The following is a 15357-nucleotide window of genomic DNA, read 5'->3' on the forward strand; positions in this document are numbered from 1 at the left end:
CATTTGTGCCATTTCTTGGAACCACTTGCTTGTTTAATTCTAGTCTATCAAGTGATAATTTTGTTGATATTTAGAGGCTCCTCAGTTAATTTCTGTGGGATTTTTCGTTATATTTAATAAGGAAAATAATAGGAAATAGCTAAGAAAAAAAGAAACAAAGCCAATTATTCCTGAGCGTGTTTAAAATTATTGAAGTACACTTGTTAATTTTTAGTATAGAACCTACATTTCATAATAGAAAACCTTGGACTTGCCAGTGTTAGCTGCTGGAATAAGGTGTTTGTCCAGTACATTCAGAATGTCGCCACAGATTAACTTCAGCTCAGTCTCAACCTGAAAAAATAAAAATGAATTTTAAAAAATTCAGATTGTTGAAGTCTAGAAATTTTGTAAGTTATTACACATTCTATGTACCTCTGATTTTGAGGAAGAGAGCTTAGTATTGAACAGAATTAGTTTCCCTCTCCAAACTCCATTCCTCCCTTTTGACACAAAAGCAGAGAAAAGCTGCCTCTGGGTCATCAAAAGTATCTTTTCCTTTCTGCGTGCAATTAAGTGCTACACACACACACCACCCCTACCCCAACACCCCATCACAGTCCAACTGCAGAATCACCAATGACTGAAACTGAACACTGATGCTACTTGGTAAACACTGGTCAATTACATGAATCTTTCACAAGGTAGCAACTATTGTGTCCATTTACTTGGGAAAACAGAAGCTAAGACATTTGCTCAAAGATCATCACCTTAAAAGAACTTAATAAGCAGAGCTAGGATTTGAACCCAGGCAGGGTGCAAGGGACAGAACAAAATTCAAACCCAGGCAGTTTGCCTTCAGTACTTATATTCCCCAAATGCAGGCCCTCCATTTGGGGAGTGGATGGAGTAGGAGAGAAGGGCTGCAAGGACCCAGATAGGCAGACAGAGGGACAGAGAGGGAACCAAAGACCCTACTTGCAAGGTGTCCCCAGAGGCAAAGGTATCGTCCACGGGGGACATGGGGACCTGGAGGCAGCACAAGGACAGCTTTGCTCTGGTCGTGGGAGCCCTCTTGCTTCCCACACCTTCAACTTACTCCGCATTGCTGTCTGTCATTGATCCCCAGGTGGGGCAAGTGAGGGACCTGAGTCAGCATGTGGCTGGCTGCTGGGAGAGGGAGCACCCGCTGAGTCACGGCTCCTCCCCTGGAGCCTCCATGAGCCATCTAGGCAGGTGTGCACTGCCCACTGGTGCAGGGCTGTGGGTACCTGCACCTGTCTGTCAACACTGATTCTTTCTCATACAACAGGCACTTGCCACCACTCTGCCCAGCCAGACCCTATCAGACCACAGTGAGGGGATGGAGTGGGCCCGCATAGGTGCCTCCACCTGAGTCTAGGCACCCCAGGCTTGTGTCTGCTGGGACACACCTAGCAGGGAGGCTGAGAGCACCGGCTTCGGAGCCAGGCAGGTCATAGTGTAAAGCCGGATTCTTCCACTTATTTGGGGAAAGTTGCTTCCCCTCTCTGAACCTGTTTCCTCACTGTAAATTCAGATTCATCCTTTATTGAGCACCTACTATGTGCCAGGCATTGGGTTGAGTGCTGGGGATAAAGTAATGAGCAAGCCCTTATCTTGATGAACAGTTACGGAATAAAATAGACCTGCAGAAATAAACACGCAATTCACAACTGAGGTGAGCATGGTTGGTGGGGGAATGGAGAGCACATAATAAAGGGTGTGGCATGGTTGGGGGCATCAGTGACCTTCTCCCTGAGAAAGAGACACTTGAGTGAAGGGGGAGGAGAAGTGAGCCAGGAGAAGGAAAAAGGGGAGGGGCATACAGCATGTGCAAATGTCCTGAGGTGGAAACAAGCAAAGTGACTGCCAGGGTAGGAGTCCTGTGTGGCTAAAGGGCAGTGGGTTAAGTCAAGCAAAGGATTTTCGGTGGGAGCAGGGAGGAGGGGGCTGGAGTCAGGGCACAAGCCTGCCAGGCTCCCTTTGTGCAGGGCACGTCAAGGGGCCACACTGATTGTCTCTGCAGGCTCTCCATGCCTGCCTGGCTGTGGGGAGGGACCAGACTGTACCAAGGCTTATGGGCGGCGGCAGCCACAGCCCAGACTAGTGAGCTAATGAGCGGTTTGGATGTCTTGCCTGGTCCCGTTAGAGCCTCGCTCCTCCCCTGTGCTGGAAGGTAGGACACAAGGGCCCGAGCCTTGGCTCTGCCATTAATTTGCTATGTGACCTGCAGCTGGTCACAGCACCTCTCAAAGCTTCAACTGCTTCCTCTGTAAAATGTAAGGACAGGACTCACTGATCTCACTTGATCTGAGGATTTGACATCAGAAGGGGATGAGCAGGCTGGGGAAGAGAGAGCATCCTCTCACTGATCAGCTCTTAGGGCATCCAAGACCTCGAAAGAAGGGATCTGGGGTGGGCTCTGTCCTATAGAGAAATCTTAAGGTGTCAGTGTCCTGGGGCATCTATTGTTCCCAGAAGGAGCTAGCTGGAATGGCACCTTCTGCTGCCCATTCACCCACCTTGTTCCTCAGATCCTCGATGGTCTTGAAGTAGGGACTGTAGTCTTTGATCTCAGCAGGCCGCTGCCACTGGTACCAGTCATGGATCTTCACCTCCAGGTCAGCGTTGGCCTCCTCCAGGGCACGCACCTTGTCCAGGTAGGAGACCAGGCTGTCGTTGAGGTGCTGCATGGTCACCTTCTCACTGCCCACCAGAAGCCCATCACCACCAGCAAAGCCACCACCCAAGCCACCACCGAAGCCAGCACCAAGGCCACCACCATATCCTCCCCCAAAGCCACTACTGAAGCTGCTGCTGCTGCTGAAGCTACCGCCATAGCCGCCCCCCAGCCTGTAGGCTCCCCCAGAGGAGAAGCAGGAGGAGGAGACAGACAGGCCACCCCTGTAGGTGCTGGGGGCGCGGCAGGACCCTCCGGCCAGGACGGAGGAGATGCGGCTGGAGCCGCCCCCGATGCCGCCCCCGATGCCGCAGGAGCCCTTCATGGAGCTGGAGGAGGTGAACTGGCGGCTGCAGGTGCTCATGGTGCCGAGGAGGGAGGTGAGTGAGCGAGCAGTTGGCTGAGTGAAGAGAAGGTGCTCAGGTAAATTGGAAAGGGATGCGAGTGCTTTATACTCATGGGTAGGAGGCGGGCCTGGCACTTTCCATTCCCCTTGGCTTTCATCACCCACAGGCTAGCGCCAACTCCCAGCCAGGTCCCTCCTCTCCTCCGCCTCATCATGTCTGTCATATTTTACTGGAAACTCATTGTTTGGGGTATTTTGGGCTTTCTTGTCCCGCCAGGCGTGATTCACAGGGGGAGGTATGGGCCTGCAGGCTACACTTTCCCATGGGGCCCTGGGAGTCCCAGCCCTCAGGAACCCGCACACTGGGCTCAGCCAGGGTGACAGAGAGCAGGGCCTCTGCACCTTAAACCTGGTGACCTGCTAGCTCTCCATGAACTGGATGGGCCTTTACCATCCACTTAGAGGAAGCCCACCACTGCAGGGGACAGATACCCAGCTGGAGAGCACCGGCATGGCAAGGTCACCTTGGGCACAGAGAGGCCTCCCTCACCATGACCCGCTGTTAGAGACAAGGAGGTCTGGGGGGCCCTCCCAGGCCTGACCTGCCATGCTGTGCTGAGAACCCTGTCCCATCCCTGAAATACACTCAGCCAGTCAGGTGTATGGTGATTCCCACCCCAACACCCCCATCAAAGAGAAATCTAGGCAGCTCTCCCCAGCCCCGGGCACAGACCCTAATTTCCTCCCTACGGTGAGGATCTGACATCCACCACACCATAGGGCGGGTGGCCTCATGGAGGCCAGGAAACAGCCTGGAGTCAGGTGGGTCCTGGCTCTGCCATTTACGCCCCCGTGACCCAGGGCTTGGCGCTTCTCTGAGCCTCAGTGTTCTCATCTGCAAAGTGGGAGTCATACCATCTACTCTGCCTACTGCAGTCAGCTGTGAGAAGCCAATGCGACAGCGTATGTGAAAGGCTTTTGTAAACCGAGTATGGCAAGAAGCCTGGTTGGCATTGTTGTAGCCCAGGCTTAGCCCCAAAGTGGATGGAGCTGCATCCAGGAACAGGCCTAGGGGGGCCTTTTTTTCTTCCAGCCCCAGATATCCTCTCAGACCCCCAGAACATCCCTAGTGTAGGCAGAAGTCTGGCTCAGGTGCCCTCGTTTGAGCCCCTTGTGGAACTGGCCCAGGAGCTGTTCTGGGGAGGAGTAGAAGCTGGAGTGGTGCCAGGCTGTGCCAAGGGCAAGGCTGAAGTGGACACGAGGGTCCCTGACTCCTGAAGCCCCAAGGGTCAGGGGACATTTCTAGGAGTCCACTTGGTCCTGCTTTGGAGGTGTGTATATCAAAACTTCAGCAATCTCCCAGACAACCTCCCAAAGCAAACCCTTCCGGCCCCCACCCCACCCTCCCCTCAGCCCCTGGGCTCCACAGACCCCGGCAGGCATGTTGGGAGGAATGTGGTCGTGTCTGGGGCTGCCTGACGCGTCCTATCTCCTCAGACAGGCCCCAACAGCCCCTGCTGGAGGCTCCACTGCTCTTCCTGGGATCAACTGTTCCTAGAAGAAAAGCAGGACCCTCTCTCACCCCACCCCCAACCTTGACTGTCACCAAAGAAAAAGCCAGAGAGGGGAGCCCCCCACTACTGTGGCCTAGGAGCTTGGAAGACAATACTGAGACAGACACCTGTGCTGTGGGCTCCCCAAATCTGCCAGCAAAGGACTCTCGAGGATGTGAGTAAGCCAGGGCCCCACCCCACTCCACCCACCCCTGACAGACACTCCTAATCTCCCTGCAGAGAATGGTTCCCCCACCCTGACCCAGTCCTACAATTTCCCCAGAGAGAGGCAACAGGGGTTTTGGCTGAGGGGCAGATGCTTTTGTTGGGAGCCATGTTGCTGTTGGCTGTGGGGCAAGGGAAGGCTGTGCTCACTGGAGAAAAATGCTGTGTCCAGAGGGATCTGGGAGTGGGAATGGGGTGCAGGGCCCGGTACTGGCTTCCTCTGTGCCCCGCCACCCCCACCCACCACCACCACCGTCTCCTTCTTCTGCAGGGATCAGGAATAGAAGCTCCAGAGCCCAGGACATAGGAACAGCTTTACTTTCCCTTTCATTTGATTCAATGGAACCCAAAAGAAACTCCTTCCTCCCACTGCTCCGAGGGGAATCCAAAAGATAAAGATGGCAGGGAACCAATGACAGATCAGTCCATGCACATAATCTTAAAAGGCACTTCTGCAGCCCCATCCCAACCCCACGCACCTACTCCGGAGCTCTAGCATGGAATATAAGCCTGATCCCCCATACCCGTTCTCAGAACCGTGGCCTAACCTGGAGCCTGAGGCCAACCTCTCTTCCCCTGCAGTCAAGGACTCAGTGACCAAGGAGCTGCAAACAGCCCGGCCAAGCAGGGAGCAGACTTAGAGGACACCACACTCCCGTCCCCTCCCTGATGCCAAAGAAGCATGGTACTCAGACATTTTAAGGGAGGGCATTTTCTGGGTCATCAGGGGTTAAAGGGTTGCCAGTCTTGACAGCTGAGGCCCAGAGTACCCCCCACCTCTGGACTTCTAGGCAGGCTTTGTGTGAGCAGCATTACCTGACCCTCCCTCCAGCCTGCCCCAAAAGGAGGGGGGTAAAGGAGGAGCCCCGGGCAGGACCTCCTGTGGTTAGTGAGTCTCCCTGCACCACCCTACATGGGGGAGCCCCGTGCCAATGCTAAAATTATTGTAAATGGATAAAATCCATGGGGTCAAAGAGATCAGGAAAGTAGATTATAGCAATCAAATTTTGGAATCTGGAAAACAAAGACAAAGAAAGCCCAGCGCTTGCCCAGAGAGAAGCCAAGAGGCAAAGCATATTTACACTCTGGAACTTTTTAACTCTGAATTTTTAAGAACTCTGGAAAGTCTCTGGAATAGGGGGCACCAGGTACCTCTGACAGTGAGGAACAAGTGAACTAGAAATGGGAGGGTGAGCTAGAGATCTATATAAAAAGCAGAGAGGTGGCCGGGCACGGTGGCTCATGCCTGTAATCCCAGCACTTTGGGAGACCGAGGCGGGTGGATCATGAGGTCAGGAGATCGAGACCGTCTTGGCTAACACGGTGAAACCCCGTCTCTACTAAACATACAAAAAAATTAGCCAGGCGTGGTGGCGGGCGCCTGTAGTCCCAGCTATTCGGAAGGCTGAGGCAGGAGAATGGTGTGAACCCGGGAGACAGAGCTTGCAGTGAGCCGAGATGGTGCTACTGCACTCCAGCCTGGGCAACAGAGTGAGACACCATCTCGGGAAAAGAAAAAAAAAAAGCAGAGAGGCCCCTATAGCTCCTCTCTCCCTTCCTTGTCTGAACCCAACCACTCCACGATTACTCCAGGAGAAACTAGATGTTTATGCTTGAGAATTTCCCCAGAGGGACTCTGAATCCTGAGACACCAAGCAGGGCCAGTAAACTGCAATCAACTAGTAGCAGAGTAGCTGAGACTGAGACCTTCTCTGCCCCCTTCCTGCACTCAGCTTCCAGAAAGCTGGTAGCTTTTACAATCCAGACAGGGAATTAGAGGTATTCCTTCTGAGGAAGACCCTCCCCAAGAAAAGTCCTACAGATAACTGTCCCCCAACGAAACAGCTTATTCTCCACCAGATTACTCTATATTGAGACCTACCAGTGGCAAGCTCCCATGCTATCCACACACATATACACATATTCCAATCAGTTTCTCAGTGACTTACTCTTAAATATGAACGACTACCAAGGACCACCAGACATCTGAGAAAAGCCTCTGGCATGAAAGATGGAGGCAAGACAAACAGCAAGAAAGGAACTGAGGAAACTGAGCTGATGACAGAAATAGAAGCACTGCTGGAGCCAGGACTAATAGGCTCAAAGAGATCAGAGAAACCATTGCATCTTGAAACAAGAACAAGAGACTGTTGAAAAAACATGCAGAGCTGTGAGAGATGAAAAATATAAAAGATTATTGTTGTTTTTAAGACAGGATCTCACTCTGTTGCCCAGGCTAGAATGCGATGGTGTGATCTCAGCTCACTGCAGCCTTGACTTCCCAGGCTCAAGTGATCGTCCCACCTCAGCCTCCCTAGCAGCTGGGACTACAGGCCTAGGCCACCACATCCAGCTAATTTTTATATATTTTGTAGAGGCAGGGTCTTACCATGTTGCCCAGGCTGGTCTTGAACTCCTGGGCTCAAGCAATCCACCCACCTTGGCCTCCCAAAGTGCTGGGATTACAGGCATGAGATGCTGTGCCCGGCCAAATACAGCAGATTTTTTAAAACTCTGAATAATGGAGTTAGAGGTCAAAGTTAAAGAAATTTCTCAGAAAACAGCAACAAAGAAAAAAAGACAAGACGGAAAATAAAACAGAATACATAGGAAAAAGAGCCATTTCAGAAAGAGAGAAAATGGAGGGAGGAAATCATGAAACACGAAAATTTGCCAGAATTGAACAACATGAGCTCCCACATTGGAAGTTTCTGCTAGTGTCCAGCCAGTGGATGAAGTCACAGCTGCATCAATTCAACACATGGTATTTCAGCCTGCTGGAGAGAAAGAGAAGAACTGAAAAGCTTCTAGGGAAGAGTGTGGGAATAGGATAATAAGACGTGATCTAGAATCAATATGGCATAAGACTTCTCAACAGCAACACCAGAATCCAAGAAACACTGAAACCGTACCTTCAAATGCTGAGTGCAAATGATTTCCAAGCTAGAATTCCATACCCAGCCAAACTATCAGGCAAGAGTGAGGATCAACTAAAGATCTTTTTGACACAAAAAGTCTAAAAAAATTTAACCCTGATAACTCCCTTCCCAGGAAACTACTTGAGGATGTGCTTCACTAAAACAAAGGGAAAAATGAAAACAGGAAGGAGGAAGACATTGGATCCAGAAAACAAGGAAAGCAACACAGGAAAAAGAAGGATTTCAGGATGATGGTGAAGAGAGATTCCAGGATCACAGCTGAGCAGGAGACCCAAACAGCACCCAGAACAGACAAGAGCAGGACAGAAGGCCCTAGGAGACACATCTTCATGAGGATGAAATTGAAGGAACACCCAGGGTTCTAAAATACTGAGGAGATTTATGCTTCCAGCAGTGAATCAGGAAACAAATTAATCATCAATACATAGAAAGTTTAGGCAAATTGAAAAAGAGATATTTATTCCAAGGAAATTTAATATAGTATAAAATGTAATATAGTATAATATATGATTTGACTATGAATAACATTTAAATAGTCATGATAATGTAAACATTTATTTAACAAAAATATGAATATATTGAGAAGGTGGGAAGAAGATATTTTAAAAAGAAGTGGGGAAGGGCAATGCTGTATAACAGATCTACATCCTCATCCTTCACAGCCAGAAGTCAAGCGATTAAAAACTGAAACAGAAAAACCAAACAGTAACAAGGTAAAGCCTGTTATTTAGAAGTAAGGAGACAAATCCCAAAAGAAACAGCTGAAGTTGAAAAGGGGAGGCGGGAACAGAGCTTTGGTATCCAGTCTAGGGATGGCTTTTTCATTAAAAAAAAAAAAAGTCTTATTCACAATAGCAAAGACTTGGAACCAACCCAAATGTCCATCAATGATAGACTGGATTAAGAAAATGTGGCACATGTGCACCTTGGAATACTATGCAACCATAAAAAAGGATGAGTTCATGTCCTTTGCAGGGACATGGATGAAGCTGGAAACCATCATTCTAAGCAAACTATCACAAGGACAGAAAACCAAACACCATATGTTCTCACTCATAGGTGGGAATTGAACAATGAGAACACATGGGCACAGGGCGGGGAACATCACACATCGGGGCCTGTCAGGGGGTGGGGGACTGTGGGAGGGATAGCATTTGGAGAAATACTTAATGTAAGTGATGAGTTGATGGGTGCAGCAAACCAACATGGCACATGTATACCTATGTAACAAACATGCACGTTGTGCACGTGTACCCTATAACTTAAAGCATAAAAAAAAAAAAAAAGTCTTGGCCGGGTGCCATGCTCACGCCTATAATCCCAGCACTTTGGGAGGCCAAGACAGGCAGATCACGAGGTCAGAAGATCGAGAGCATCCTGGCTAATACGGTGAAACCCTGTCTCTACTAAAAATACAAAAGAAAATTAGCCGGGCATGGTGGTGGGTGACTGTAGTCCCAGCTACTCGGGAGGCTGAGGCAGGAGAATGGTGTGAACTCGGGAGGTGGAGCTTGCAGTGAACTGATATCGTGTCACTGCACTCCAGGCTGGGCGACAGAGCAAGACTGTCTCCAAAAAAAAAAAAAAAAAAAAAAAGGCTTATGATGTTGTACATACATAACTTTTTTAAATTTAAATATTTAAAATATGGAAGGCATCCAGGAAGAAGGAATGGCAACTGAGAGGTATGGGTCATATCTCAGTCAGGTAGGGGTGACTCAGGGGTTTGGAGCTGGGAGGGACAGGAGGACACCAAGCTGGGTTGAGACTGAAGGCTGAGTGCTGGAGGGGAATGGGATCCATCGCCAGCTGTTAAGCAGGGGAGTCCTGATCTCACCCTTGTTCTTGATCCTGACCACATTCTGATGGAAATCATTCAGTGGAAATTGAATGTGGATGAGATTGACTCTCAAGGGGACCCAGTTAGGCTGTGCCCAGGTCTAGGGAGAGAGGAAGAAGATCTGAACATGGCAATGGCCATGGGGCAGCAGGTGTTTCCTAGGGTGCTCATCAGCACGCAATTCACCAGCTGAGGGGAATGAGGAAGGAGGAGTTGATGGGGTGTGAGGAGAAGCAGGCTGGGAGAAGGAGGATTTCAGGTCTGACGAGGACATCGTTCTCAAGGCAGATACCACTCCCTTCCACCCTCCAATGTAGAAACTGTGTGCAGATGTGGGGGAGCCCATGGGTAGAGTTAAGATTCAAGCGTGGGAGTCTTCGGGTTAAAATACCTGAAAAGGTAGAGTGGTGTTAAAAGAAAGGCATGGACTTTGCAGACAGACAGAACTGAGTTTGAGCTCCAGCCGTGCCACTTACTATCTGCATGATTTTACGCAAGTTACTGAAACTCTGAATTCTGGGGGTTGTCAAATTCCAAAATGGGCCTGACCACACCCACCTCACAGGGTTGCAAGGGCAACCTCGTAAAATAACCTCTGTAGAATGCCTCCATGGTGTCAGTCAGCACGTGTGGACACTCCCCCATCCTGTGTCCCACCTCCCACTTCCATAGAGCATGGAGGTCTTCCAGGAAGAGCCTTCAAGATCTTCTGAGATTTGTCCCATTTCCCACATCTCTCAGGCTGTGAGGCTCCAGGAGGTTTCTGGAAAGCACCTGCAACTCCCCTCCCATCAGTTCAAGAACAGAGATCACACAGGTTTGCATCAACCAGAAAGTCAGCTTTATTAGCCCATCACCAGTAGAGGAGCAGGGAGACAGCTGGGAACTGCACTGGGAGAGCAGGGTCCTGACCCAGGCCTTCAGGAGGTGAGGCCAGCTGGTGGGCAGGAGGCTGTGGTAGAGGCAGCTCAGTTCTAGGAGCACTGGCCCTGGCTGAAGCTGGATGAGCCCTGCTCCTTGAGGATGGGCCAGGTCTGACGGCTCGAAGAGGACGAAGAGGAGGTGAAGACTGTGGGAGAGAGAAGAGGAGGTGAGAAGGGGTCTGAGAGCTAAGCCAACTCCAGGGCAGGGAGAAGGGAGGGCTGGGAGCTCTGAGGAGAAGGGCCTGGCCCCCACTCCATGGAAACAGGCAGAGGGGCTGCAGTGCCGGGGAGCCTCAGGAGCCTTACCCACTCGGGAAGAACAGGATTGGCCAGATGCGTGTGGGGAGGAAAGGCTGTGGGTGAGAAAAGGCAGGGCAGTCAGTTGTGCTGAGAGCAGCAGGGGGGCTAAAGGGTCTGGGAGGCAGAACTGAGGGGCCTGGGACTCACTGGGCGTCCTCGCCCTCCAGCAGGCAGCGGTAGGTGGCGATCTCCTGCTCCAGCCGTGTCTTCATGTCCAGCAAGATCTGGTACTCCCGGCTCTGCTGCTCCATCTCACAGCGTAGCTGGGCCAGCTGCTCCTCCACACTGCCAATCAGTCCCTGGATCTGGGACAGCTGCATGCAGTGGCAGCCTTTGGTTTCCTCCAGGCTGTTCTCCAGGGACGCTTTCTGCAAGTGAGAGAGAGAAAAAGAGTCAATGGAGGTGGTCACTCCTGTCCCTCCAGGTCTCTGGGCATGTTTTTTGAGAGGTGCCTGGATTTTGATCCCAGTTGGGGTACTGATGGGCCAGACAATATAGAGAAATGCTAGCCCACTATTCTAGGGCTAGTTTCTCTATCTATATAACAGGTCCCATGAGTCCTCTGGTCCCATCCTGAGAAAAGAAAGGTGGAACTAAATTGTGGCTTGTTGAGGGGGTGGTGGCCATTACTGGTGACTTGGGGGCTGCTGCTGTGCCGGGTCCTTCATACTATGCTGAGCTGGGACTGCAGCTCCATCTCCAGGCCCTGGAACACCCTCTGGAGCTCCGTCACCTCACTGCGGCTGCTCTGTACCAGTTCACTGCTGGAGGCCACTTTTTTGTTGAGCTCCTTGGTCTGAGACAGGAAAGCAGAGTGAAAGGTGAGGCTCTCCCAAAGCCCCCAGCTGGGAAGTGCTGCAGGCCCACTGAGGGCCCGAGCCCCACCTTGCTCAGGAACCAGGCCCAGCATCTCTGTGGTTGTGCTTTGCCATCTGCTCGTACTGGTTGCGCATCTCATTCAGGATGCAGCTCAGGTCCACGCCAGGTGCGGCATCCGTCTCCACGTTCACTTCTCCACCGGTCTGACCTCGCAGAGCAAGCATCTCCTGGGAAGGGATGGCAGGAGGAGGTCAGCTCAGCAGACTCCTCTCCTGGCCCTGGGTGCATCTGGCAACCCCACCAAACCAGCCTCCCATCCCGGAAGCCAGCAGCAACCACACCTCCTCGTGGTTCTTCCTCAGGTAGGCCAGCTCCTCCTTCAGGCCTTCCATCTCCATCTCCAGGTCAGTCCTGGCCAGGGTCAGCTCGTCCAACACCCGGCACAGGCCATTGACGCCAGCCTCCACAGTCAGCCGCAGGGCCAGCTCGTGCTCCTAACTGGCAGGACAGAGGTCAGGTCCTTAGGCTGCAGCCCTGAGGATTCTGAGGCTCGGGGTCTGCTGGCCCTGCTGGGTGGACAGCTCCACTCTTTGTCCCTTGCCCTCTGCCCCCAGCCCACCATGCTGGCTGCTCACTTGGTCCTGAAGTCATCAGCTGCCAGCCTGGCATTGTCAATCTGCAAAATGGGCTGCGCATTCTCAATGGTGGCCGCAATGATCTGGAGTGGGGATGGAGGACAGGAGCCCTGGTCAGGCAAGGACCTTACTACTTGAGCGTGAAAGGCAGAAAGGGGCAAAAGGAACCTCCTCAAATCTGGAAGTCTTCTGGCTGGCAGGGCTGGCATGCCTTCTCCACCAGCTCAGGGTATGCAGGGATGCACTCCATCCCGATCACCCCCTTCCTGGGCCCAAGGCAGGGAAGCGGAACTTGCAGCTGAACCCTTGCAGGAAATAAGAGATTCAGGGTAACAGCCCCAGTCCGGGCACAGAGATGCTGAAAAGGGACCCTCTGCCACCACTTCCCTGGATGATCCTGGCCACTCCCCAAAGGTGCCCAGTCTCCCTGTTTGTAAAGTGTAATTGCTAAAAAGAGGTATCCCAAGGGACACTATAGCCCCAGCCTCTCTCAGTGCTCCATACACCAAAGTCACCCACCTTGTGCCTCAGGTCCTCGATGGTCTTGAAGTAGGGACTGTAGTCTTTGATCTCACTGGGCCGCTGCCTCTGGTACCAGTCACGGATCTTCACTTCCAGGTCGGCGTTGGCCTCCTCCAGAGCACGCACCTTGTCCAGGTAGGAGGCCAGGCGGTCACCGAGGTGCTGCATGGTCACCTTCTCACTGCCCACCAGAAGCCCATCACCACCAGCAAAGCCACCACCCAAGCCAGCACCCAAGCCACCACCGAAGCCAGCACCAAGGCCACCACCATATCCTCCCCCAAAGCCACTAGCAAAGCTGCTGCTGCTGCCGAAGCCACCGCCATAGCCGCCCCCCAGCCCGCAGGCTCCCCCAAAGGAGAAGCGAGAGAAGGAGACACACAGGCCCCCCAGTAGGTGCTGGGGGCATGGCAGGACCCTCCGGCCAGGACAGAGGAGATGCGGCTGGAGCCGCCCCCGATGCTGCCCCCGATACTGCAGGAGCCCTTCATGGATCTGGAGGAGGTGAACTGGTGGCTGCAGGTGCTCATCGTGCCAAGGAGGGAGGTGAGCGAGCGAGCAGTTGGCTGAAAAAAGGGAAGGTGCTCAGGAAGGCTAAGAGCATGCTGTGGCTGCCTCCAACCCCAGAGACCTTTATATGCACCTGGGGAAGGCGGGGCCCTCCTAACTGCTGACTCCAGGTTCCCCTCTGGATTTCATCACTCCCAGTCCCGTCCAACTCCTCACTCTGGATTATTCAGCCCAGGATCAACTCCGCTGTGTGCTGGCTCAGAGTTCCCACCCAGCTTTGAGAGTGTGGAGCTGAGAGAAAAACACACAAATGTGAGTCGGTGGTGACTCAGGCTAGGTGGCCGGGAATCAGGCTCCCGTTCCTGGAGCCCTTGGGGCCAGTGGGGCCTTGGCACAGGTGGCTTTGTGGCAACTGTGTCCCCAGGCAGTGAGTCAGCCCTTCAGAAGAACTCCCTGCCCCACAGTGACAGCCTTGGCTGAAAGAGACCTCAGTGATGCCATCCTGGGCTGTCTTGGGGAGCAGTTGCGGGGATCCTACATGTCCCACTCTGGGCAGGGGCAGAGTTCGTGTCTTCACTCTGCTTGCTGTGTGGCCTGAGGCTCCCCACCTCCCACCTCTGGGCCTGTTTCCCCTCAGTGGTGACCAGGCTGGACTGGGTGATTGCAGAGTCCCTTCTGGTTCTAAAAATCCTATGACTCTCTTTCCCCTCTTGGATCTAATTCCAGTTCCGGAGGCTGCCTTGAGCCCCCGGGATCTCCAGAAGTGTGTGCACCATACAAACAGCACTGGCCATGGAGCCAGACAGGCGGCACTGAGTCCCTGCTCTGCCCTTACCAGCTGTACAGCACAGGCTGGTCTTACAGCCCCTTGGTCCTCAGTTTTCTCATCTGTAAAAGGGGATGACACACCACTAGCCACAAAGAAACATGCGCGAAGGACCCCACCGGCCCTTCCCCAAGGGCCAGCCCTGCCCCTCATCCTCCTCATCCTCCCCCTCCAGCCACCTGCTCCTCACACTCACCTCTACACACTGGCACCCTCCCGAACCGCTACGCGGGGCCCTGCGTCCCCCACACTCCCAGCTGAAGAACACCGCAGCCCCACACCTAGCTCCTCCACTCCTCTACCGCCCTCTCCTAATCACAGGCACCCCACCTGCAGGCCGGTGGGAGGGAGCCCCGTCCTGCCACTGCAGCCAGGTGTGACCCCTGACCCCGCCGTGGGCCTCAGAGTTCCCCCCTACCCTGTAGAAACAGGACTGGCTGGGGATCCGTTCCCAGCAGTTCTCTCTCCTGTGTCCACAGATCCCACGCTGGGCCTGGCAGCTCCATTCATCCAGCTGAGCTGGGGGAGAGCACCGGTCATGGGCCCACTCAGGCACTCATGGAGAGCCTGGTGTGTGTTGTACGGTTCTGTGAGCAGGGATGACGGGGGCGTTATTCCTGCCACCAGTCCTCAGGTGAGGGAGCTGGGATTCAGGGAGGATAAGTGGGCTTCCCAAGACACCAGGCACTGGAAGCTGAGATGTGAACCTGCCTGCCTGTTCTCCTTGCCTAAGCCTGTTCTGTCATCCTGAGCCCTCTCTCTGTGCATCTCAAATTTATATCATTTTCTTGATCAGAGGGGACAGAGGGGTAACCAGAGACAGGTGGAGATTCACTCAAAGTCACTCTGCTTTAAGCTGCAGAGCTGCAACTAGAACCCAGACCTCAGCCCTCTCCAGGCTCCCACCATGCCTGCAGGCGGGGCCAGTATACCCAACTCTCACCCACCTCCCCACGATCACTGGCATGAGGTCTGCCCAGGGTGGGCGTGGCCTTGGCCTGAGAGGCTGGTGCAGCACCGAGGACTGGAGGGAGGAGGAGGGATCTGGGCACCAAGACGGGGCCTCCTCAGGGTGCCGTGGGGCATCCCTTGGTGCTGGCCACTGGCCTTGCTCTGCAGTGCCTCTGTTGAGGTGAGGAGCCCAGAGACAGCCTGCCTCTGCCTGGGCTCCACTGGGGCAGGCAATTCCTTGTCTCAGCAGAACCAGGGTTTTGTCGCTGCTACATCTCCCCTGGTCAC

General features: G+C 53.1%; 3 pseudogenes across 1 annotated transcript, besides 4 other annotated features; all 3 read right to left on the reverse strand.

Moving 5' to 3' along the window:
* Positions 212 to 332, reverse strand: YWHAEP3 (tyrosine 3-monooxygenase/tryptophan 5-monooxygenase activation protein epsilon pseudogene 3; annotated as a pseudogene).
* KRT16P5 (keratin 16 pseudogene 5) lies at positions 2521 to 3104 on the reverse strand (annotated as a pseudogene).
* On the reverse strand, positions 10402 to 13387 carry KRT16P3 (keratin 16 pseudogene 3; annotated as a pseudogene). Its single transcript, NR_029393.1, has 7 exons — positions 12780 to 13387; positions 12261 to 12343; positions 11967 to 12123; positions 11692 to 11852; positions 10954 to 11602; positions 10813 to 10859; positions 10402 to 10652 (listed from the first exon to the last, which is right to left on the reverse strand). The product of NR_029393.1 is annotated as a keratin 16 pseudogene 3 (transcript).
* Positions 10803 to 11303: an enhancer, noted in NCBI's record as "H3K4me1 hESC enhancer chr17:20405227-20405727 (GRCh37/hg19 assembly coordinates)". NCBI's record gives its function as "activates a minimal SCP1, AML or CMV promoter by ChIP-STARR-seq in primed H9 embryonic stem cells {active_cell/tissue: H9 hESC(primed)}" and the evidence as "EXISTENCE:reporter gene assay evidence [ECO:0000049][PMID:30033119]".
* Positions 12521 to 13106: an enhancer, noted in NCBI's record as "H3K4me1 hESC enhancer chr17:20406945-20407530 (GRCh37/hg19 assembly coordinates)". NCBI's record gives its function as "activates a minimal SCP1, AML or CMV promoter by ChIP-STARR-seq in naive and primed H9 embryonic stem cells {active_cell/tissue: H9 hESC(naive and primed)}" and the evidence as "EXISTENCE:reporter gene assay evidence [ECO:0000049][PMID:30033119]".
* Positions 13691 to 14276: an enhancer, noted in NCBI's record as "H3K27ac-H3K4me1 hESC enhancer chr17:20408115-20408700 (GRCh37/hg19 assembly coordinates)". NCBI's record gives its function as "activates a minimal SCP1, AML or CMV promoter by ChIP-STARR-seq in naive H9 embryonic stem cells {active_cell/tissue: H9 hESC(naive)}" and the evidence as "EXISTENCE:reporter gene assay evidence [ECO:0000049][PMID:30033119]".
* Positions 14277 to 14860: an enhancer, noted in NCBI's record as "H3K27ac-H3K4me1 hESC enhancer chr17:20408701-20409284 (GRCh37/hg19 assembly coordinates)". NCBI's record gives its function as "activates a minimal SCP1, AML or CMV promoter by ChIP-STARR-seq in naive H9 embryonic stem cells {active_cell/tissue: H9 hESC(naive)}" and the evidence as "EXISTENCE:reporter gene assay evidence [ECO:0000049][PMID:30033119]".

Source organism: Homo sapiens, chromosome 17 (assembly GCF_000001405.40).
Source record: "Homo sapiens chromosome 17, GRCh38.p14 Primary Assembly".
NCBI lineage: Eukaryota > Metazoa > Chordata > Mammalia > Primates > Hominidae > Homo > Homo sapiens.